Raw genomic sequence first — 23,706 nt, forward strand, 5'->3', positions numbered from 1 at the left:
CCTGCTGCTGGCCCAGCTCAGTTCTGCTAAGGGAACTGCTGCAACATTGCTACCCTCAGAACAGGCAGAGCCCACCTCAGGGCAACACTGGGATGAGAGAAAGAGTATTCCTCCATTTTTCGGGTATATTTCTGAGTCTCTAAACCAATGCGTGGCAAGCCAGTTCATCTGAGAGTCAGGGTGTGAGTTCCATGACCTCAGGGAACGTGTGCTCCTCTCTGAGCAAGGGGGTAGATTCTACCCTTTCCCCAAACAGAAGGACTAAGGCTCTGAAGCCCATGCTTCAGCTTTAGCTTCTTCCTGGGAGACTAGCCTGGGACTCCCCCTCCCAAGGAGTCCAGGCTCCCTTGTCATCCTATCGCTGTGGCCAATGCAAGCTGAAGTCCACACCTAACCGATGCCACTGCCAGCTGCAGGCCTCTCCTTCCCTGATGAGACTCCCTCATCATGGCCCAGCCTGTTGATGGACAGGACAGTTCAGTCACATCCAGATACAAATTGAATGGGGCAGTTTTTATGTGCCTTCCCCTGTGTCCTTGTCCCCAGGACACTCAGGTGCCCCCAGCTGCCATCCCTGGTTCCTGCTAACCAAGTATGTGGCTCAGATTTTTCTTTTCTGCTCGTGGAGAGTAGATCTGACCAGGCCTTGGTTCCTGGAGGTCGGGAGAGGGAACCGAAAGTTGCGTGGCTGCACTAAGATGCACCGCGGCAAAACCTGCTTTCCATGGTGAGCTGCTTTGCTTCCCGGACTTCAGATGCAGGGAGGCACACAGACCCCAGAGTTCTTTCCCAGGACAAGAGACGCTCTGAGGCCCAATTCTCAGTGCCCTTCTACAGAGCTGCCCTTGTGGATTTCAATGGTGCTATTTCTCCTTCGGGATTGCCATACAAGCTGAAGTGAAAGGTCTCTTTGCAAGCATTGTCATGGCAAGGTCCTTCCATCCCCTCCCTCTTCTACTTTCTTCTATGCTCAGCATGCTTCTGAATAGAAACCCCAATGCCGGAACACTCCCCTGTACCTCCTTCCCACTGGGTCCCTCTTCCCGGCCTAAGGCCCGGTGTCATGTCATGGCACAGATGACCGTGGCTGTCCAAGGGGGACATTTAGCACAAGGAACAGTGGAAGGGCCTGGAAATGTTTGGCCTTAAAAAGGAAAGGCTTGTAGGCTCACAACAGTTGGCCTGAGTCATACAAAGGACCGTCACATAGAAGAGGAAGAAGGCAGAATCAAGACCAATGAGTAGAAATCACAAAAAAAGACAGGTTTCATAGCTAGAAGAGCTGCCTGGAGAGGCAGGGATGGCCCGTGGTTGAACAGAGAGCTTTCCTACCCTTCCAGGCAGAGCTAGCGAGCCACGTCCCATTCCTTTCCTTCCTCAGGATGGAAACACCCCAGCAAGGGCCCCTTCCCAAGTAATGGTGTAGAATTAGGAAAGCAGGACCGAGGTGGCTGGCAATCAGAAAAAAAGGGTCAAAGAGGAACAATTAGCACTGGGTACCTGAGTCTGGCTTTTCCTGATGCCCTGAACACCACAGATGACTTTCAAGTAAATGCTACGTTTTCCCCATGTCCATTTGCCCTTTCTTGTACAGCCACTCTTCCTCTGGCCCTGCCTGGATGCATGTTCCCACCGCCCCCACATGCACACACATGCACTTGCTCAAGTGTTGGTCTCATTTGAGGGTCCCTAAACAAAACAGGAGCCCAAAACCAGAGGACAGAGTTGGCACTCTGAGCCTTATTAGTCCACCCATCTGAGGAATGCAGAGTGTTCTGTTAGAGCTCAGTAGTAGCCTCAGAAGATCCAAGCCAGGAGCAAGAAGGGATCAGACCCAGTGCCTTCCTAACACTAAAAGCAAGGTGGCTGGGGAAGTACTGGGCTTTCTGCAGGCACAATTAATATGAATTATGGGAGCCTCCTGAGTCCAGTCTGTGGGGGTCCCAGCTCTTCACCAAGAGGCAGGGAGGCAAGGCTTCCAGATGGTGGGCCTTCTAGAACTATACTCCCTTGCATCTTTTATGTAATCTACCCACTTCTAAAAACCATTGCCCAACACAGGTGCCTGAGTCCTTTGGGACCCCCTGCTGCAAGAGATAAATGGAAAGAATTAGGTTGCAAGAGCTATTTTTGCCCATTTCCCTCTGTGTTTGCTTTTGAATGGCTCTGCGGACACTCTGCCCTGGGCATGCTCTGATTCCAAAGAGATGAACTGGACCCCAGATGACCGGGGAGCCTTGCTCCACCTCTCCACTGTCGGCTCCACATTTTCCCTTTGGCCGATGCTTCCTGTCCGCTGCCTGTCACAGCCCTTATCCTGGATAACCACTGGCCCTTACGCAAGTCGGCAAAATGAGAAAGGCTGTAAAGGTGATTTGTTGAGCACCTGCAGTGCGCAGCTTTACACCAGGCTCAGAGGGTGGTAATAATGGCCAAGTCCTGTAGCAGTCATCGTCATCTTGTGTGTTCTCTTTTTAAAAGTTTCCAAAGGGCTTTCACAAAGCCAGGGGATAGTTTCCTCACCTTTTGATGAGAAAACAGAACTTTTCTCATCCAGGAAGCATCCAGAATTCAAATCCAGGCTGTAGTGACAGCTCACCCTTTTATGGGGCTCACCGTGTGCAGGGTGGCATCCTAAGTATTTTACATAGAGGTACCCACTTGATGCTTACAACCCTGTAGGGTAGACCTTATCCTCATTTTTCCAATGAGGAAACAGAGGCACTAAGAGAATTTGAGTTTCTTGCTCCAGGCCACAAAAATAAAATACCACAGGTCTGGGATTCCAGCCCAGGCCGTCTGGCCTCAGAGCCTGTGCTCTTAGCCACTGAGCCTCATAGCCCCTCTGATCACACAACTTTTGCCCTTAAAGAACTCCAGATGTAGTCTAGAAGCAGGACAGTAGAATTGAGTTTAGAATATTTGGCATCAATAATAAGCACCCTTTGAGGCCAGGAAGGGGAGGTATGCTAATTGCCAGGGTCACCACTGGAACTTCTCACCAGGCACCAGGGTGACCAGCTGGCCTAGTTTGCCTAAGACTGAGGAGTTTTCTGGGATGCAGGATTTCTGATGATAAAGCAAATCTGGGCAAACCAGGATGGCTGGTCACCCTGCTGGGCATGCCCCGCCCCCCAACCCACCCACTCACGGCAGATGTCTGGTGCTCTCAGCTGGCCTAAGGACTCAAGCATTTGGAGAGGCAGTCGGGATGTGTGCTCCCAACCCGACAGCATCAGGAAAGGACCCTGCAGGCCCAAAGCCATGGACTTGGGATGTGGAACAGTGCGAAATTAGAGTGGGATGGTGGGGCCCACTTGAAAGGGCTTTGAATGGAGGACTAAAGAGCCTGGCTTGGCCTGGCAGGTGCAAGGAGCCACCCAGCAGTCCTGGGCTGCGAGAGTCTTGGGTGGTTGTGTGCATGGTAGCAGAACTCTTTTCTTGGCACCATAGCGCCGTCTTTGTCCTTCCTGTTCCCCATGGATGGTGCTTGGGACTTGCCCAAGGGATGCTGTGGGAGGAAGGGGTGGTGTGAGGGGTCTCTGGGCTAGGGCTAGGGCCACTCACACTGGTGTTCCTTTGTCCCTCCCTGCAGATGACTGCTTATGGGGCTTTCTTGCACAAGGGTTCTTTCTGCCGGAACTACTTCAACATCCTGGACCTGCTGGTGGTCAGCGTGTCCCTCATCTCCTTTGGCATCCAGTGAGTGGGAGCCCCTCAGCCCACGATGGGCCATGCAGCTAGCAAGGGGTGCCAGAGAGGACAACCAGACCCTGGAGGGCCTGCCTGCAGGGCCACCGCAGTGTGATGAGAGTGGGGTGGGGCCTCCAAAGCTGTGCATGGTGGCTTTGGGTTCTTGGTTCTGTGTCCTCAGTGGTCTGATACTTGGGGCACGTTGATCAGGTGAGAATATGTTTAATTATCTGGGTTTTGCCATGACAGGCAGGGCCAGGCTCAGCTATTAAGAAACGGTTGTCTCCAGGACCTTCCTGCCTCCTCCACCACGGCCCCAGTGCCCTAGGCTGACCTTCAGCAACCCACAGTCTGCCACTGCCGTGACCTCCCCTGACCTGGACCCTCCTTCTCCCTTTCTCTCCCCTCTCTCTCCAGCCAAAGCACCTCATGTATGAGTGTATGTGTGAATGTGTGTATATATATGTCTGTGTAAGTGTGGGGTGTATGTGTGCACGTGTGTGGATGTGTGGGGTGTGTGTATATGTGGATGTGTGTTTGTGGCTGTGTGTATGTGTGTGTATGTATGTGTTTGTGTTTGTGTCTGCATATGTGTCTATGGACGTGAATGTATATGTGTATGTATGTGCATATGTATGTGTGAGTGCATGTATGTGTGTGACTGTGTATATTTGTGTCTTGTGTGTGTGTGTGTGTGTGTGTGTGTGTGTGTGTGTGTGAGTTTTTCATTTCACTGGTCTGGGGTACAGTCTGGGTGTGAGTTCTAAGAGCTTTCCAGGTGACTCCCCTGTACAGCCAAGCTTGCAGTCCTCGTTCAGGTGTGGAGGATCTGATTACCAGTTTCTACCAAGTTCTAACAGCTGATAGTGTGAATCCTACACTTTAACTTTCAAAGCACTTCCACATACACATTCTTCTGTGGTCCTCACACACACAAAACGATGGGGGAGACGGGGCAAGTGTTATCATGATTGTATAGATGGGAAATTTGGAGTTCAGGACATCATGACACTTGCTCAAGGTCACACCTGTGGTAGAGAAAGGCCTAAGTCCCAGCGTTCCTGGGTCTCTCCTCCCAAGAGTGTTTTCATGGTTGGCTGAGATCATGCAGGGACCAGGACCTTGGGAGAGACCCTTTTCTGTGATCATCAGTTATATTACCCCATATTTTCTGCCTGGGAGCCTACAAGTCCAGATTTGAATCCCAGCATGGCCACTCAGTCACTATTTAACCTTGAATGAGGAATTCCTCCTCTTTAGCCTGTGTTTTTCCCATCTGACCTTTAAATCCCTTCCATTGTGATTCGGTGCAAACTGACTCCCTCCCAGAGAGACTGTAGGAGAGACACAGTGATAGATAGGAATGGCCTTTGCATCTCTTGGAATAAAAGAGTCATGCACCAGAGAAATCGGATCTTTCCACCAGCCCCTTGAGCACATCATCCTGACCACACAAAGCATGAAATCAGCGCTTGCTGGCCTGTCATTCATTGTTTAGGTCCCAAGACAAGTATGAGGCTCTCCAAAAGCTTGAGAGGCTATCTCAGGTAGTTAGCCCGTGAGGGTTAGGATGTGCTCCATAGCTGCTCACCAAGGTGGTATGGTTAATGAGCCCCACCTGGGTAGGATGGACAGCTCCAAAAACCATCCAGGCATCTTGCTTAGGGACCTGTCTCCTGCTGTCTCCATTGCACTAGGGAAAAGCCGTAGCCCGAGACTCCGAGAAGCTCTGGCTTGGCCTCAGCATCCCAGGTGTATGGAACCTGTAGTGCCACGTAGGAGCCAAAGGGACTGGCCTTCTGAAGGGTCACTGAAAAATCAACTGACAAAAGAAAGGTTAATTGGAGACAAAGCATTCACATTTATTTAACGTGTATACACAGAGCCTATAGAATGCAGACCCAAAGATACAGGGGAAACTGACCATTTTTCTGCTTAGGTTCAAAAAAGTATGGACAGCCATGTAGAAATGTGATTGGACAAGAAGCGTAGGATCTAACGTGAATGGACCGAGTGGGGAACCCAGCAAGGCCTGTCTCTAGGTTCTTCTTGTGCTCTCTGTGAAGCTTTCCCTCCTTCTGGGTCGGGGCAGGATCCCGTCTGCAACAGGAGTCTGAGGATCTACACTCCCACATGGTGGATCTGGTCATTTTTTATGGCCAGTTTTTATACAGAAAAGGAGAGGGAAATTTTGAATAATATTTTAGGTTGTGTGGCTGGCTTTGAGGAAACGGGGTTCTGGGTTCTGGTTTCTGTGACCCATCTTGGGGAAGAGGGATTCTAGTGTCTATGGCTAGCCTGAGAGGAGAAGGGGACTGAGACAGGAGGGCAAGAGAAGGTCAGAGAAAAACTTTTGCTTCTGAGACTGCTTCTAAGGCCGTCGTTTCGGGGTGTTGTTTCCTGAGCCCCAACAGCGAAGCCCATCCTTCCTTGGAGTCCTGAGTGTGCTCTGGGTGGGTTTTATGTTTAGGTGTCAGGGGCAATATGTGTTTGGAGATAAACACTAAGAAATCTCCTCCCCATGACATCACCTCCAGCCACAAGGCCCGAGATCCCACCGTTAGTACGGCATTCCTTTAAGTGTAGTAACGTCTTCAGCAGGCCTCATGAGCAGGTACCATTCAGGCAGTTTCTCAAGCACATGGCTGGGTGATTTACATAGAATTCTTATTTAACCCTTGCAAAGACCTTCTGAGCTGATTACAGACCCATTTTACAGATAAAGAAACTAGAGCTCAGAAAATTTAGGAAATTTGTCCTCAGTGCCTTGGCTAGCAAGTGCCTGCACTGGGGTCTGAATTCCCATGGCCTTGCTCTGAATTTCTTTCTGTGACACTGTGAATGCCCCTGTGAGTAGCACAGTACATTGCTAATGACCTGCCATGAGCCACCTTGCATATTATTTAGTCACCCACAGGAAAGCCCCAGGGTTACAGGCAAGCTCCAGGCTCTCACGGGATGGGAGACAGGAGTAGAGAGTGGTCCCAGAATGCGAACATCCCCAAGATGGGCTTTATGTTTTCTCAGGTTTGCCTCGGATTCACCTGTCAGGACATTCCCTTACCACATTATTTTTGCTCCCCCCAGAAACAGGAGGAGCTTACTACCCTGCCTGTTTCCCTCTCCCAGGTCCAGTGCAATCAATGTCGTGAAGATCTTGCGAGTCCTGCGAGTACTCAGGCCCCTGAGGGCCATCAACAGGGCCAAGGGGCTAAAGGTGAGTTGAGGGCTTGGGTAGGGAGTCTCCAGCCAGCCCATTGGGGAGTGGGAGCTCCACAGAGGTGAGGGGTGGGTTGGAAGGAGATGATGGTCAGACCAAGTGGCTGCCATGTGGGGTCCCGGACACTGGTCCCACTGCATGTCCCGGTTCCGTAATGAACAGAATAGTAACAGAGGCAGCCATCCCAAGTGTCTGCCCTAAGCAGAATGTGCCAAAGGGAGATCCCACACAAACCCTGTGCCCCTGTGGTGCCACCATCCCTATATTCCTTCCACTGTAAGATGGGAGGTTGGCAGGACTTTTGTCCTTGTAGTCACGGAGAGTCCAGTGGGGGCCTTTGCATCCCATTAGGGTCCATCACTTCCCATGTGACTTTGGGAGCGTGGCTTTGCCCCTCTCAGCCCAATTACTCCCCGTTGTGGCAAACGGGCTGCCCCTGCTACCTCCTGGAAAGGCTCCTGGCATCTCCTGAAGCCACGTCCCTCTCCCCGTCCCTTCCCACTGCAGCATGTGGTTCAGTGTGTGTTTGTCGCCATCCGGACCATCGGGAACATCGTGATTGTCACCACCCTGCTGCAGTTCATGTTTGCCTGCATCGGGGTCCAGCTCTTCAAGGTAAAGTCTGGGCTCCGTTGTGGTCCTCCTACCTCCCCTCCCATCAGCATTCCTGGGGAAGGGAACTGGCAGATATAGTACAAACGAGACAGTGTCCTGAGCCAGACTTGGCTTGGATATAACCTCCACCTGCAGCCCGACTCAACCTTCAGACCAGGGTAGGGAGGCGCTAGAAGGAGGCATCGGGCCACCAGGCCAGAGGCCCCTCACCCTCTCCACTTCACCTGCCCTTGAGGTCACTGCCCTTCCTTCTAGAAAGAGAGAGAGAGGGACTTTCATCCTGTGGAACCTCTGTGTCAGTCAGTTGCTTAAAGCCTGCAGCGGTGACCTATTATCAACAGCATCACGTCCCCACTGCACCACCCAGCTTTCAGAGCCCTGCACCTGTCAAAGTCAGCTCCTGCTGCTTCCTGCAGCACCCCTCGTGTCCTCCTTGGATTCTGGTCTTTTTTGCCCTCACCCTTTTAGTTCTGCTATTCTCCCACCTAGAGCATTCGCCCCCGCTCCCCTCCACTGTGTAAACGCCCATCTAATTCATCCCTCTGAGCCCAGCTCCACTTCTCCCTCCCTGGCGAGACCTCCCCGGAGAGTACAGCTCCCATGGACCCGAGCTCCTGTTTTTGCATTGCAGTGCTACTTGCAGCACTGGCGTCTGTATTCGCCACCGTTCTGTGCGTGTGAGTCAGGTCCTGCCCATCTGGATTCTGCACTTTTTATCCCACTGTCCCTAGCACAGTGCTGGGCTATGGAGATGCTCACTAATTGCTTTTGGATTGACTCATTGATTACTGAACATCTCTGATACTCTGTTCTCTGCCTTCCAGGGAAAGCTGTACACCTGTTCAGACAGTTCCAAGCAGACAGAGGCGGAATGCAAGTGAGTAGAGGTGGGAGGGCAGCCAGGGCCACGGCCGGTCAGCCCCAGGAGGCTGGAGGCTTGACCAGAAAGGAGGGACAGCTCATTTTCTAAGACTGCAGTGGCACCTGCGCTCTGCCTGTGTGTCATCTGGCCTCACGGACACAATGTGTAGCATTTTTTGTTCCTGAAGTTTCTGCCCACTGAAGCTCCTCCCATGGCTAGAACGGTGAAGTTCAAGCCAGGCAGTCCCATCCCACCCAGCATTCAAGGTCACTGGCAGGCCAGGCGTGAAGGAAGATGGGAGATCCCAGAGTAAACTCCTTCTCCTCCTCTCTCAGGGGCAACTACATCACGTACAAAGACGGGGAGGTTGACCACCCCATCATCCAACCCCGCAGCTGGGAGAACAGCAAGTTTGACTTTGACAATGTTCTGGCAGCCATGATGGCCCTCTTCACCGTCTCCACCTTCGAAGGGTGGCCAGAGTGAGTATGCAAAGCAAGGCCCCACGAGCCCTGACATTCAAGGGCCAGTACTGACTTTCCAGCCCATCCCCAAGTTTTGTTAATGTCCCGCACTCCCTCTGGAGGTCATATTTACCTGGGTCCTCCCCAGGCAGTGAGGTGTATTTCTAGAACTTACAGTCCACTGTCACTGCTGAAACCGACTCTTCTTTCTCTAGAAGGTGTCAAGAAACTCCCACCAAAAGTGACCTTTTTTTAGCCCTCTTTCCAACCTCAGCATGAGCCACGATGTCAGAGATCTCTGTCATTACCCTTATGGCATCTGGGAGTTGGGTGTGGGGAGAGCTTCTCCAGGTGTGGGCCCTGTGGTCACCATAGGATTCAAGATTGCCACTCCCAGCATGCCCTTCATTGGGTAAAGATGGCTGAGATGTCTTTGTTTTATTTGACTGGATCCCGGTCTCCTTAGAAAAAGCCTTGCCTGTATTTACAGTGGAAAGTAGGAAAGGGATGGAAGCCCGGGCCCCACTTCCTCTGCAGAGGCAATGCGTTTGTGCGTAGAGCAGCCCGTGGGCCTTGCACGCTGCATCACCTCTACCAGGCAGCTTCCCATCAGATCCTTATATCTTTGTATAGATACCTGCTTTTCCCCCAATATGTATTCCAGTGAAATTAGAATCTGAAAGTCAGAAAATTCTAAATGTTTCTAAGTCAACAGCAATGCATGGATCTTAGGTAAGAGTCACATTATTATGTGGTAAGATATAGGTGATAGCTGGAGAATAACCAAGTGCTGTGCAGGGCTACAGAGGAAGGGGAAGAGATAATCCCTGTCCATGAAAAATAACAAGCTTCATGGGGCACACAGCCCAGGCTCAAATGAATGGCATATGTATGTAAACTGCTTATGTCTAAAACCAGGCCATTGGTGATGATCGGAGTAGCATGGGTCATGTGAGTGTTTTTATCTAAGTGGATATTTGCTCTCGGAGAGATTTATTTTACATTCCTTCTAACATTCTCTGAGCTCATGCCAGTTTGCAAAGCTGTCTCAATATTTACCAATATTTCCAGTGTTTTAAATCAATGTCCATGACTCATGTTACATTTAAATAGCTCTTCACAGTTTCAAAACACCTTCCTATACATTATTCTAACTACCCTGCAAGGTAGGAAAGTCAGGAATTATTGTCTCCAATTTACAGATGAAGAATCTGAGTCTCAGAGAGGTTAAACGCTTTGCCCAAGGTCACACAGCCAGTAAGAGGCCGAGCTGGGACTCCAGCCCAGAGCTGTCTCCTGCACCCTGATCCCTGGGATCCCTGGAGCAGTGGTGCCGTCCTTCCGCAGAGGGGACCCTGCTTCTCCAGTTCCCTCTGTGGGACCTGTCTCCTCCTGCAGGCTGCTGTACCGCTCCATCGACTCCCACACGGAAGACAAGGGCCCCATCTACAACTACCGTGTGGAGATCTCCATCTTCTTCATCATCTACATCATCATCATCGCCTTCTTCATGATGAACATCTTCGTGGGCTTCGTCATCGTCACCTTTCAGGAGCAGGGGGAGCAGGAGTACAAGAACTGTGAGCTGGACAAGAACCAGGTAGCTTCCTAGGAAGGAGCGGAGGGAAGCGGGGCCCACGGAGGGAATGGCAGCCTGCGGCCCACCCCGCAGAGGGGCTGCGACAGGGAGAGGCCGTGCAGATACTGAGATCGTCTCTCTATTCCTCAACCAGAGTGGGCTGTCAGTCTTTTTGAGGGACCTGTGCAAAAGAAATGCAAATTCCTGCAAACCCCAGATCTGGCAAATGTACTCAGCCAACAAATATCTATGAAGCTTCTACTTAAGGATACTCTATGATAGGTTTTGTCAAATCTCATGCCCTATATAGAAGTTAACAAGTTAGAGGGACCCAAGTGGGTCGGCACCATGATACGGAGGAGAGAAACTAGAACTGTGAGGGAGTGAGGGCTTTTGGGGTGGGGAACAGAACGGCTTCAGGAAACCACTCTTACATGGTTTCTTAAGTAAAACCCAGAGGCTTGTGTGGGAGGTGGGGGCAGGAAAGAGGCTTAAGTGGGAGTGAGATGGTGATGCCAAGTATCGTGACAGGTTCTGTTAGCCGTGAAGAGCTGGCAGTGCCGTGGCTGAGTCAGGAAGCTGTCGTGGTGGGAGGTAGATGTAGTGCCTCAGGTCTGTTCCCTAGCTCGGCTCCCACTGGGAGGAGTCCGTGGGGAAACACATCCCTGTCTGTGAATAAGGAGTGCCCACGGGCAGGAGCGCAGCGTGGTGTGCTCCTTGTGACCCTCGCCAGGCCAGCCAGTCCCCTGTGGGTTTTCAAGTCTACATCTCAGGCATAGACTCACTCTGCTGGCTGCTGTGTGGACCCTGGATTGAAAGAAGACAGGAAAGAGAGGAGGCCAGTTAGAAAGTGGAAATGAGAGAGGATTAGACCCCGATCTAGTATCCGGTTAATGATGGTAGCGATGGAAAGAATAGGAGGAGGTAAAAGCGTTAAGACTCAGGCGTTGGACACCGGGGCTGAGGGTTTGAGAAGAAGCTGGGGACATTCCCCAGTTCCTGATCTGGAAGCCTGGGCAAAGTACAGAGAAATGGACTGGCTCTTTGCCAGAGTCCCAAGAATCTAGTTAGCCCAGAATCTCCTTCCCTCTCAGTGAACTGTGTTTTTCCATCTTATGGACACTGGCAAATAAGAAAGATTGATTTAGTTGGCCAGGCACAGTGGCTCATGCCTGTAATCCCAGCACTTTGGGAGGCCAAGGTGGGCGGATCACTTGAGGCCAGGAGTTTGAGACCAGCCTGGCCAACATGGTGAAACCCCGTCTCTACTAAAAATACAAAAAATTAGCTGGGCGTTGTGGCGTGTGCCTGTAATCACAGCTACTTGGGAGGCTGAGGCAGGAGAATCGCTTGAGCCCAGGAGATGGAGGTTGCAGTGAGCCAAGATCACACCACTGCACTCCAGCCTGCTGGATTTAGGACAGGAAAGAAAAACTGAGGAGAGAAGTACCCAAGGAGGGTCTGTGGCATGGGAAGTAATCAGTGAGAAGCACAGCTGTCAGTCGGTCAGGAAGCACATTCTTAGCGATGCCGACTCCCTGCCGAGGCACATGCCAGGCATCACCAGGGTGAGGAAAGGAGGTGTATGGTCCCTGCCTAGGACCTTGTTACGGGGATTTGACAAGAAGGGGCTCTCTCCTTGATTAAGGGGGCCATGGAAAAATCAAGACATTTTCCAAATAACACCTCCCACCTGTAAGTGAGCCGGAGCGGCCAATGATTTCTCAGACTTCCGGAGAACCCCACCCCACAGTGTGTGGTCTCATCACATCCCACACTTCTCTGCCAGCTCCCCCCACACCCTCCAGTTAACTAACCCCACTCTCCCCATCCTCCACCACCCTCCCAGCGACAGTGCGTGGAATACGCCCTCAAGGCCCGGCCCCTGCGGAGGTACATCCCCAAGAACCAGCACCAGTACAAAGTGTGGTACGTGGTCAACTCCACCTACTTCGAGTACCTGATGTTCGTCCTCATCCTGCTCAACACCATCTGCCTGGCCATGCAGGTCAGTCCCAGGAGGAGCACAGCCATGGTGCTGCAGAAGGGAGTGTGCCATGGGGATGGAAAGTGTAACGGAGCGGCAGGCAGCTCAGTGCATCGCTTTCCTGGTCACCAAGGGAGGCATTTGGAGAAAGACGAGTGTTCTCTGTCAAGGATGTGCTCCTCTCTGGGCCTTACGGAAGAATCCATGGCACCCTGGGTTGATCAATGGAGAGAGGGGAGGAGATGGAGAAGGGAGGGTTGAGCTGAATGCATTCATTGTTGGTTGATCAATGGAGAGAGGGGAGGAGATGGAGAACGGAGGGATGAGCTGGATGTGTTCGTTGTTGGTTGATCAATGGAGAGAGGGGAGGAGATGGAGGAGGGAGGGATGAGCTGGATGCATTCCTTGTTGGTTGATCAATGGAGAGAGGGGAGGAGATGGAGAAGGGAGGGATGAGCTGGATGCGTTCGTTTTTGGTTGATCAATGGGGAGAGGGGAGGAGATGGAGAAGGGAGGGATGAGCTGGATGCATTCCTTGTTGGTTGATCAATGGAGAGAGGGGAGGAGATGGAGAAGGGAGGGATGAGCTGGATGCGTTCATTTTTGGTTGATCAATGGAGAGAGGGGAGGAGATGGAGAACGGAGGGATGAGCTGGATGTGTTCGTTGTTGGTTGATCAATGGAGAGGGGAGGAGATGGAGGAGGGAGGGATGAGCTGGATGCATTCCTTGTTGGTTGATCAATGGGGAGAGGGGAGGAGATGGAGAAGGGAGGGGAGGAGATGGAGAAGGGAGGGATGAGCTGGATGCATTCATTGTTGGTTGATAAGTGGGGAGAGGGGAGGAGATGGAGAAGGGAGGGATGAGCTGGACGCATTCGTTGTCGGTAAGGTGTGGCGTGTGGAGGGAGGTGGGTTCTGCATCCACCTGTCTTCAGGGACAGAGCTTGTTCCCAAGCTCTCTTGAGTGCCAGAGTCTCCATAAAGTTGTCACGGCCAACCAGGGAAATGAACACAGATGTGTTCAGAGATGGCAGAGCAGGGAAGATCTTGGAGGTTCTCCTGAGTCCTCCTGACTGCCCACGGAGAGGTGGGCGGCCCTCTGGGGGTTTGGTTCAAGGAAGGTCTTGCTGAGGCGAGGGCCTTCGAGAAGGCTGGGCAAAAGGTGGGGAGGAGGAGCGACCTCCCTGCCCCGTGTTCACAGCTCCTCCCCTCTCCTGATGCAGCACTACGGCCAGAGCTGCCTGTTCAAAATCGCCATGAACATCCTCAACATGCTCTTCACTGGCCTCTTCACCGTGGAGATGATCCTGAAGCTCATTGCCTTCAAACCCAAGGTAGGCCTCTGAGAAAGACCTTTGATTCCCAGGCATCAGGGGTGGACAGAACGGGGAGGTGGGGTGCAGGTATTGAAGGCAGAATGAGGGGAAGAGGGAAAAAGGCATCGGTGAAGGACCATCCCTGCTCCGATGGTCAGTGCCCCAACTCCTACACCTGCCCAGAGCTGAACCAGGCCAACTCCAGGAAACACTCTCAGCTCTCAGTGTTGACCCTGGCTGGCATGCACAAGCTGCAGATTCCTCGCTGAGCTGAACCTCTGAGCCTCTCCTAGGAGAGGCAGGTGATGGTCTTTCTCCTATGTCCCATCCTCTAGTACATAACCTGTTAATAGAAGAAACTATGCTCATAGACTGGCAGACCAAACCTCTCCAGGCCCAGCCCCCCAGATCCACTCAGGCCTCTGTTCCACCCTCCTCCCATTTCATCAGCCACACAGACCAACCTCATATAAAACATTCAGCCAGGGCTGGATTTGCTCAGGGCTCAGGACTGAGGGCTCCAGCCCATGGGCACTCCTGTTCCCTGCCTAAGAGGCTATGGCATTGCTCCTTACATGCTCTGGGGCAGGAAGAACAATTACCAGCAAATTTCTCTGCTTTGTTCCTTGTGTAAGGGCAAGAAGATTAGGCCTGCTGCTGAATGAGGCAGGGTCAGAATTCCTGTTCTTTGGATCATCTGTGCCCTTCCTAGCCAGTCACCCCCATTGTCCTCAGTGGTGGAGGAGCAGACACTGGTATGAGCCACACCTTCCACCCTGGGCCTCTGTAGATGGGTCAGAATCACGGGTATCCACTGGCCGGGATTCACCACCAGGACAGCTGCTTCTGAGGGAGGCTATAAGAGCAACTGAGCAGCCCCCAGGCTACCATAACACCTTTTGGAGAAGGATGAGAAGGAACGAGTTCTAGGAGCATCATGCAGTTACAGACTTGAGACAATCTCTCCAGCTTACTGAGCCTTCCCCTCCCTCCTTTGGTAGTTTTCCCAGAGGCAACACAGATCAACAGGAGGCCAAGAGCAAGAATCCCTGGCCATATCTTCTATTTTCATTCAAGTTTTTACTGGTCTCAAGATTAATTGGGGGTGGGGGAGGGTCCAGCTCGGCCTTTGAATCCATGTTCATTGAGGAGATATCCACAGCCTTCTTTGAATGAATATTCACTCACACTTTGGATTCCATATCATGTGCTACATGTATATCATCGCACGTCATTCTCAAAACGTCCCTTTAAAGTAGGTATTAGCATCCCTCTGTGGAGAAGGGGGAAGGGAGGCTCAAACAATTAAGTGCCCAGGATTAATTGATCCACTGCTAAGAACTGGCAGAACGGAGACTGGAATCCGGCACCTCTGACTTCACTGTATTTTCCACCACACTGAGGTTAACTATCATTTTCCCATGTCAAGTGTTCTGCGGGTATTTTTTAGCAAGAGGGAAACAACCTTGGAGGGACTTAAAAGATAAGACAATATTCCTACAATGCAGATTCTTCTGTCACTCAAAGAATGCCTGGGGATCCCAGCTGATTTTCATAGAGGAAGTCTCCTAAGGGACATCCTTTGGTGATAGAACGGTGGTTTCCTGCCTTCTCCAGAGAAGCAAGTACACTCTTTTTCACCTTCCTGTACAAGTCCCATTTAGGAGGACAGATCTTGTCCTGACCTAGAGAGGACCCCTGCGTTGCCCTGACACCTTCCTTAGGGTACACGGTGTCTGTGCCCACACATGGTCCTATTCCAAGCCCTGCAGCCCAGGAGCTCTGACAGTTCGCCACCCACAGCAGCATGACCAGCTGAGGCCAGGAGTGCAGTCACTGCCTAGCCGAGCCTCAGTCTCGGATGACTCCTCTCAGTGGGGAAACTGGCATCATTTTCATACAGTGTCACGAGACATATGGTTTAAATATTTCAAAGCCTTGAGTCATTCCACAGTTGACTCAGATGTGTTTCTGACGATGTCTGAGGCAGTCTGGAGAGCCTGCAGTGGACTTTCTGAATCATGCCTCCTGAGCACGGGAGACATACAGACAACCTTCCCTGGGAAGTGCATGAAATTGACACCTGCAGGAGCCTCCGTCCTCCGTCTAAAAGACACTCCACCTAAATCCTGCCAATCAAGGAACAAGCCAGTTTCCTAGGAAGTAACCATTGCGAGTGGTCTAAACTGTAAAGTGCCTCCTAATTTCCTCTGTCCCTGGTTTTCTATTGTGAGAAGATGGGGCAAGATAACAGAGACTTTTACCCAAGAAGGAAGACAGCCATCCTGGGCCCATTTGCATTTCACATTCCAGGGTACATCTATGGTGTAAAGAGAAAGGAAAATGGATCTTTCCCTGTGAATTTCCCTAAAGGGGCTCTGGCAAGAGGGGGATAAAGGTCACCACCCAGTTAGGAGCATCATGGAGCACAGCTGAGTCCCTGGATTCTTACTGAGCTATGTTCTTCATTCACAAATAGACTCCAGGTAAAGCAGCTCCAAAATTTTCAGGCAGAAAACCAAACTGGAAAAACTTGAAGCTCTGGAAGAATATCCAGCTGGATCTGGCCCAAGAACCAGTGGCTTCTAACCATGACCTGAATCCATGACAACTTTCATTTCCCACCATTAAGTAGGACTCTGTGCTGCACTTTTTATTTCACTGGCATGGTTGTTTGTGTATGACCCAGATGAGCATCAGCATTTGCTGTGAAAGGATGGCTAGGAACCAAGGATGTTGAAGACAGTCTGAAGTTGTCACTGCTTATGTTTCGTCTCTGCAACTGGCTGGTTGGTTGGTCCATCAGCCGGTCAACTTGTATTCTTGCTTCATTCTTTCATTGTTTTCATGGTCATGGATGTTCCCAATTTCTTCATTTCTGTGTGTTCTCCTCACCACTCCATGGAAAATAAATTTACTCAAGTAAGTCCCTGCCTTAAATCTAACCATCCCACTCCTTAAATTCATACTCTGTTCAAAAAAAAAAAAAAAATCACACAAAGAAACTAGGAATCAACATAAACCAGTTTAGATTGAGTCGGTCCCTGACAAAGCCTCAGGAACCTGCAGGCATGGTTTGAAGAGAGTGAGGTGGATCATGCCAGCATTGATTTGAACAGTGAACAGTGACCCAGAAGGATCTCCTTCCCTAGAAGTGAGAGGCCATGACCTGGAGATAACTGGATGGCCCCTGCACCCCACACGAAGGTGCAGGACCAGGCTGGGCAGCACGAAAAGTGCTGGCTGGAATATTCTGAAGGTAATTAAATAACTGGATAGTCCTATCATGAACTGAAGCTTGTCAGCAAAGACAGGAAAATAAATTTTGAAGATACTCTTATAGATTTGATAAACTGAAAAATATGCAATGCCTGGGGAAAAAGTCTAACAGAAATGGCTAAGATCTCTACAGAGAAAATGATAAAATTGAAAGGAATTCAAGAAAAGCTGATAACTGAAGACATCTATCATGTTCCTGAATTGGAAAGCTCAATATTATTAGGATATCATTTCTCCTCAAACTGATCCATAGGCTCAATACCATTCCAGTTAAAACTCCCAATTGCACTTTGCTGGAGGTGAGGATGGCAGGAGAGGGAGCCACACGTAAATCCTTTACGGCCAACAGGATGAGGCTGGGTGGTCCTGAGGCTTCAGCCCCTTCGGGCAGCTCTGAGGTCACCAAGGAGGGAATGCACAGGAGCCTGGCGCGGGAAGCAGTGTCTGTCTCAGCTACTCCAGTGTCGGCTGCTGGTTTGGTAGTGGGAGTGATGATGTCACTTAGTTGCCTGAGGTTTGCTGTCGAGGATGTCTCAGCAAGGGTACTGGGGGGGAGGAGCTGCAGGAGGCGATGAGTGAGAGGCTGCGCTCCAAGCTTCTCCTCCTCAGTGGAATGTGGTATGCCAGGAAGGCAGGGGTTCACCCCGTGGAAGGCTCCTAACTCCTCCCCTCCACACAGGCTCCACCTGGGCCGCAGAGGGGTGAAGCAGCTGAGACTCACCTCTGCCCCTCAGCTGAAGCCATCCCACTCAGGGAGTAGCCAGTGATCACCTCCCCAAGAGGAGGACGCTGGAAGGGCCTTGACCCTGGCAGCTCTCTGGAATCCAAGTCTCGGTCTCCCTTTTTGGCTTTCCCCCAGCCTGAGAATGGTCCAGAGGGGAGAATGGACCCAGAGTGAAAGCACTCATTGGCCCCTCTGACCCCCTGCTTTCTTGAATAAGCAGCTGAAACCTCGGGAGGCCTGGCCCCTTTCCCACACGTTCCCAGTCTCCGCTCTCTTTCTGTCTGGGCCTCCTCAGCCCAGCTGCTCCAGCTTCACAAAGCCAGATGGTTTCTCTCATCCCCCTACCCTTTCTTCTGGTGATTTTCAGCCAGAAGTTGACGCATATATAGTGGAGCCCCTCTTGACTGGGTTAGACAGTCTCTCGCCCTGGCCGAGTGAGTTTCTCCCACTGTCAGTTGCCCCAGCCCTCCCTGGCCTTCCCCAGCCAGTGGCAGCTGCAAGCACCCAGCCCTTTCCCTGCAGACTCTTTCCCACCCAGTCCTGAGCTGGCCCTAAGAAGGCAGCAAGCGCAGGTGAGGTCTGGAGTTAGTCGCTGCTGCGAGCCCCCATAGGGCGTGTCCCGTGAGCCATGGGGCACCCAGACACTCTTTTCCACAGTCGATTGGACTTCTGTCTAGACTTCCCCATCAGCATTTTATTGCCCTAGTGACAGAAATCTAACAGCCGTGAGCCCCTCTGGGTTCTTAGCTGACCCCCTCTGGGGTGCAGAGCCTTGTCCAGCTGCTGGCCAGACTTGCCGCCTCATGGCCTCCATGCCACTTCCGAAGTGGAGGCAGCCTCCTCACCACGGCTCCTCTCCAGACTTCCTGCCGGCGCCCTTGCCCTGCACGCTGGTCTCTGCTGGGCCCGACAGGCCTTACCACAGCCATCTGGGGCTGTGGCTCCTGTCTGCCACCACACACAAAGGACGTGGCTGGCATTTTCAGAGGATCAGCTAAGAATGGGGCAGCAGTTCAGTTGCCACAGTCTTGTCTGCTTTGAAGCCCCTGTTATCTTTCAGGAAAGAGGAAATGAAGGCAGTGAAGCCTTGGCCTTGTCTGCTTCTCAGAGAGTAGAGAGGCAGAAAGAGGAGCGGTTTCTCCGGTCCCCCACCTGTTGTCCTGAGGAATCCATCAACGAGGCCCTGGGCACTTCCTTTATCGAGAGTGAGGGATGAGTCAGGACTAGTCGGTAGCCTGGTGAATGAGATGCTACCAGAACCAGAGCTGCTCGGGACCCTGGAGGTCAAATGCTGGCTCTCTCTTGGGGCCACTCTTCATAGCACAGCTCTGGGCCCAGCCTTGCCCCGGTCTCACTGACACATATGCCAGCTAAGCTATAGGGAGGGCCAGGGGGCTCTGGAATGGTCGTCCTAGTGGCGAGCACCTGGAGTTCGTGTGCCAAAACCAGCCCACTCTGCATCGTGAAGGCTCTGAGCTGACAGAGGCTGTTGCTGGCCTTGGACTTTCCACACTCAGGGGCAGCCGTCCTCGTATCCAGTGTGCCCATGTGGGGGCAGGGATCCTGTGGCTTCCAGAGCAGTCTTTTCTCTGCAGGCTCTGCTGTTCTTAGGACTGGTTTCTGCTCTTACAAATGATTCTTGGCCCTGACATGGGTGGCCACAGGCCCTGCGGAGGGGAGAAATCTTTGGGGATACCCTGAGGATGTGGCTCAAATGGAAGGGTCATCACCAGCTGCCTTGTTTTCACTGGGCTTGTGTCGAAAGGCACAGATGAGGGCTGAGTTGGGGCTGTAGGTTCGCATATGGATGGGCAGAGGGAAAGTTGGAATGAGGAGGTGGGTGCATGGGGAAGTTCACTTGCTTCCATAGAGAAACAACAGCCCAGTTTCTCATCTACTCTGTCAGCTCTGTCCATGTCTAGAAACTTCTGTCCTTTAGATTTAGCATCTGGCCTCTTTGGGCAAATAGCTTTCGTCACATGACCCGAAGATACTGTGGTCCCTCCTCCAGCCAGCTTGGGGTTCTCCAGGGGCATCCATGCCCTGTGCAGATGCAAGGGGACTTTGGAGGCTGAGGGTCCGGATTGCTCAGGTGTGGACCTGCTGTTTTAGGTGTTGGAGTCTGTGGCGCCAGGAGTGAGCTGCTCCCAGGAAAGGGACCAGATTCTGACATTCCCCTGGCAGGTGGAGAAGTTGGGAGGGCACCCTCAGCAGACAACTCAGCCCCCAAGTCAAAGGTCAGATCTGCTTGTCTGAGCAAGGGAAGAGAAACCACCTTTACGAACTGTGGGCCAGGCCTCTTTCCCACCCAGGCCAGGGTGTCAGTCTGGATGGTAATCAGACATGTTCTCTGCCCCCGGGAGGAGGCAAGTGGACGGCACACCAAAGAACAGGCTCCTGAAGGTTGCCAATGGTGACAGAAACAGCCACAGGAGAAGAGAGTGCATGAGCCTGTGTCAGAGCAGCGGCTCATCAGCCTAAGGAGAGGTGTGGCAAAGGCCACGAGGCCCCAAACTGCCCCACCGGTGCCCTGGGGCAGCCAGGGCTGAGGCAGTGGGAAGAATGCCAGGGCCAGAATTCCTCTAAAGACACCAATGTGGCCACCTGAGGGGCCAGGGGAACCCTGCAAGCTAAATCCATCAGGCCTGAGCTGAGCCTGCCCCGGAGGCAGGAGAGACTCCGATGTCCACAGACTCTTCCATGGACTGTTGAGAGACATTTCAGAACGTGTTCTTAAAAGCTCAGTCAAGGACCAGGAGAAGGAAGGGGAAGTGGGATGGCCAGGAGGAAAGGATGCACACTGGAGCCCGTTCCTCTTTTTGAAAGCGGAGAATCTTCTAGGAACTTGGTTTGTTTTTCAGTCATGTTTTCGGCAGCAATGACATTGCTGGCTGAAATGTACTTTCTCTCCAACTTGACCTCTGCCTCCACCTGCACCGCTCACCAGGAATCATCCTCTTCCAACTGTTTTAAATTAGCCATGCACTTCTGTATGATGCAGTAATTTTTGTGAAGTTTTAATTTTTACAAAGCAAATTTTGCTTTATGTCTTCGCTTCATCATCCACTGACCCCAGATCCCACCCAGAGAGGAAATTCTGGTAGATTGAGACCCAGGAAGCCTAGATCCCACCTCAGCATCACCTTGAACCAGCCAGGGCTGAGCAGACGGGACAGGAAGAGCTTCCTACAAGCACTTGTTCCTTCCATGTCTGTTTCTCTGTAAAGTAGGAAGACTGCCTTAGCATACTGTGGTGAGACTGAGTGAGGTCATATCTACAGAGGAATGAAGGCTTCAGGGAAAGTGCCATTCAGATGAAACTCAGCCGGATCCCTACGCCTGGGGAGTTTGCGCCCAGCCCTCTAACTCAGCACCAAAGGAACTTCACCTCCAGCCTGGGTGTGCCCTCTTGTCTGTGACCATTTTAAATGGGCCCTTTTGCAATATTGGTATTCTGTCGTCTTTCATCCTGAGCCCATGTATTCTATCCCTTCAGTCTGATTTCTGTCTCACACCATGAAATAACTTTAAGGCTCATCTTAATGCATCCTTGAAGTTGGGTTGTGCAAGCATCAACGACGCTACCAGCATCTAAACTATCACTCCCCTTTCCTGTGGCTAATGCAACCCATTAGTCGGCTTTTCAAGCCTTCAGCTCAGTTTTTCACCATTCCCTCTCTTTCTCGGTGCCTAGGCCTTGCCATTCTTCGTATTCTTTATTTCAAGAACTCTTTGTTTGTGTGACTTGCTTAGTGTTTTGCTGCAGGCTAAAGTTCACCAACAACCCCCAAAATATTTTGTTGAGCAGCTCACGTGCTAGGCGGTAGGCTTGGTACCAGGGACTCAATCATGAATACAAGCAGGTAGGTAAGGCCACACTTGCCTGGGGCGACTTTGGCCCACTCTTGAGACTTGTAGCATCCCCAGTTCACCCTCTCATTTGTCACTAGGAAAACTCCTGTCAGCTGGCATTCATATTTCAACTTAAAAGAAGCAGTCGATAATCAATGCCTACACCTGAGATCAAGTAACATTTAGAAGCACTGGAGGGAAGCAAACAACATATATTGTCAATGAAGAACCAGACATGAAGCTGGATATTTTACTTGCCTTATCTCATTCAATCCATAAGACGAATATTATGGCCTCCCATTTTACATCTGAAGAAACTGGAGGTCAGAAAAAGGCTAAGTCCAGAGCTGGCTTTTTGTTGTTATTGTCAGTTTGTAACAAACACCATCCTGCTTAGTATGCACCCTAATACTGCTCTAAGCACCTTAATAGGAATGCATTTAATCATTGTAAAAATCCTGGGATTCTATTGCAGGCTTAGGTGACTCAAAAGCCACTCTTTCCACGACAACCCTATTAAAACAAGAAATGTGAATAAGCCATGTTGTTGCTATGCGCTTAGTGAGTCCTCAGTAAATGTTAGCTGTCTTCCTTCTAAGATCCGAGACAGAAAGAAAGAAAGCCATTCTCGAGTCACCACCCTCTGGAATGGAAAGTGTTCACTCCACTCCTGTGTCCTGCCACCTTCTCTGAGGCCCCTTGCCGTCCTTCCCTCTCATTCAGCCATTCTGTCTGTGGCCCCTGCATTCCCTAGATTGCTTTGGACCTTTGAATTTTGTTTCCAAATCTGAGTTGACAAGCACTTTCAGGAGAGGGGTAGTCAGCTGACAGGTGGGCTCAGGAAAGTGAAACCGAAGCCTACTACACACTCATCTGCATGTGTTTCCACACACACATGCACACACATTTGCAATGGGAAGACTTACACATTGGGGACACAAAAATTGCCAAATTCATCAATGGCGGGAGCTGTTTCATGTTCATCTCTGTGCCATGAGAGGCATTCAGTGAAAGTTTGATGCATGCATGCATGAATGGATGAATGAGAATTGTGAGCCCGGAAAAGAAAGTCGGAATATTAGTGTCAGAAAGGATTGAGACCATTGAGCTTCCATCAGTGCAGAAATCTCTACACAGTCCTACTTTCTGCCATACAAGTCTCCTTGTTTCTAGAGGTAGCTCTGTTGGAAATCCTTCTTTATACTGAATTAAAATGCACCCCTCTGTAACTTCCACTTATCCGTACTTCCTTTTCCATCTTTTCTTTCTATAAGTAGTTCTTGAGCGCCTCAGTGATGATGTTGAAGCATGGTACCATCTTTATAGGGCTCACAGAGTAGTGCGGGAGACACCAATACACAACAAACAAAGGTTTCAGATGGGGTAAGGGCTGGGGTGGGGAAACTAAAGAGTGTGAGTGAAGAGGCACCTGTTTAAAATAAGGAGGTCAGGAAGGCACCATTTCTGCTGAGCCCTGGAGGGTGAAAAGGAGCCAGAAGAGGAGCATTTCAGGCAGAAGGAAGAGCAAAGACCCCGAGGCAGGGGCAAGCTCAGCTCGCTCTGGAAACTGAGAGTGGCGCGTGAAAAGGACTGTGCCAGAGCGCACAGGCCCTTCAGGATCACGGTGAGGGGTGTGCACTTCCTCTGACTGTCCTTGGAAACCGCAGGGATGGGCCATTCAGTGGGGAGGATTATATAATCTGATTTTCATTTTTTAACCAGCATGCTGGCTGCTCATTGACAAATGACTGGTGTGGTGAGATGGGGAGCAGCAAGGAGCCTGATGCTGGGAAGGCAGGTGGCAGTGGAAGAGATGGAGCGAGGGGGGCAGAGTCATGACATCACTGGATGGCGAATTGGATGTGAGGGTGAGGAACAGGAATCAGAGACGGCTCCGGGGTTCCTGGCTTTCCCTGAGTGGATGGAAGAGTGGTGTCATTTGCTGAAATAGAGAAGAACAGGAAGAAACCAGTTTAAAGTGAGAATGTGGGGATATATTAGGTTAGAAAATGTCACGTAGGCTGTGAAAATCTGGAATTCAGACAGGCGATCTGGGCTGGAGATGTATTTTAGGAGTCAGCGCCATCTATTCCCTCTGAAGATAGAAACTCCAA

At 51.2% G+C, this 23,706-nt stretch overlaps 1 protein-coding gene across 56 annotated transcripts in view, besides 2 other annotated features; it reads left to right on the top strand.

Moving 5' to 3' along the window:
* CACNA1C (calcium voltage-gated channel subunit alpha1 C) overlaps positions 1–23,706 on the top strand; it is a 727,171-nt gene that overhangs the window by 627,479 nt on the left and 75,986 nt on the right. For all 56 annotated transcript variants that reach the window (XM_017019926.3, XM_017019934.3, XM_017019946.3 and 53 more), the window contains 8 exons: positions 3,596–3,702; positions 6,823–6,910; positions 7,421–7,528; positions 8,353–8,405; positions 8,726–8,872; positions 10,253–10,454; positions 12,283–12,441; positions 13,645–13,755. In XM_017019926.3, coding sequence (XP_016875415.1) covers positions 3,596–3,702; positions 6,823–6,910; positions 7,421–7,528; positions 8,353–8,405; positions 8,726–8,872; positions 10,253–10,454; positions 12,283–12,441; positions 13,645–13,755 — 975 coding nt within the window. The remainder of the gene's footprint in view (positions 1–3,595; positions 3,703–6,822; positions 6,911–7,420; positions 7,529–8,352; positions 8,406–8,725; positions 8,873–10,252; positions 10,455–12,282; positions 12,442–13,644; positions 13,756–23,706) is intronic.
* Positions 13,152–13,652: an enhancer, noted in NCBI's record as "H3K4me1 hESC enhancer chr12:2720576-2721076 (GRCh37/hg19 assembly coordinates)". NCBI's record gives its function as "activates a minimal SCP1, AML or CMV promoter by ChIP-STARR-seq in primed H9 embryonic stem cells {active_cell/tissue: H9 hESC(primed)}" and the evidence as "EXISTENCE:reporter gene assay evidence [ECO:0000049][PMID:30033119]".
* Positions 14,077–14,229: a silencer, noted in NCBI's record as "fragment chr12:2721501-2721653 (GRCh37/hg19 assembly coordinates)". NCBI's record gives its function as "represses an EF-1alpha promoter that drives an FKBP-Casp9 reporter gene in an ReSE screen in phorbol 12-myristate 13-acetate-treated (for megakaryocytic differentiation) K562 erythroleukemia cells {active_cell/tissue: K562(+PMA)}" and the evidence as "EXISTENCE:reporter gene assay evidence [ECO:0000049][PMID:32094911]".

Source organism: Homo sapiens, chromosome 12 (assembly GCF_000001405.40).
Source record: "Homo sapiens chromosome 12, GRCh38.p14 Primary Assembly".
NCBI lineage: Eukaryota > Metazoa > Chordata > Mammalia > Primates > Hominidae > Homo > Homo sapiens.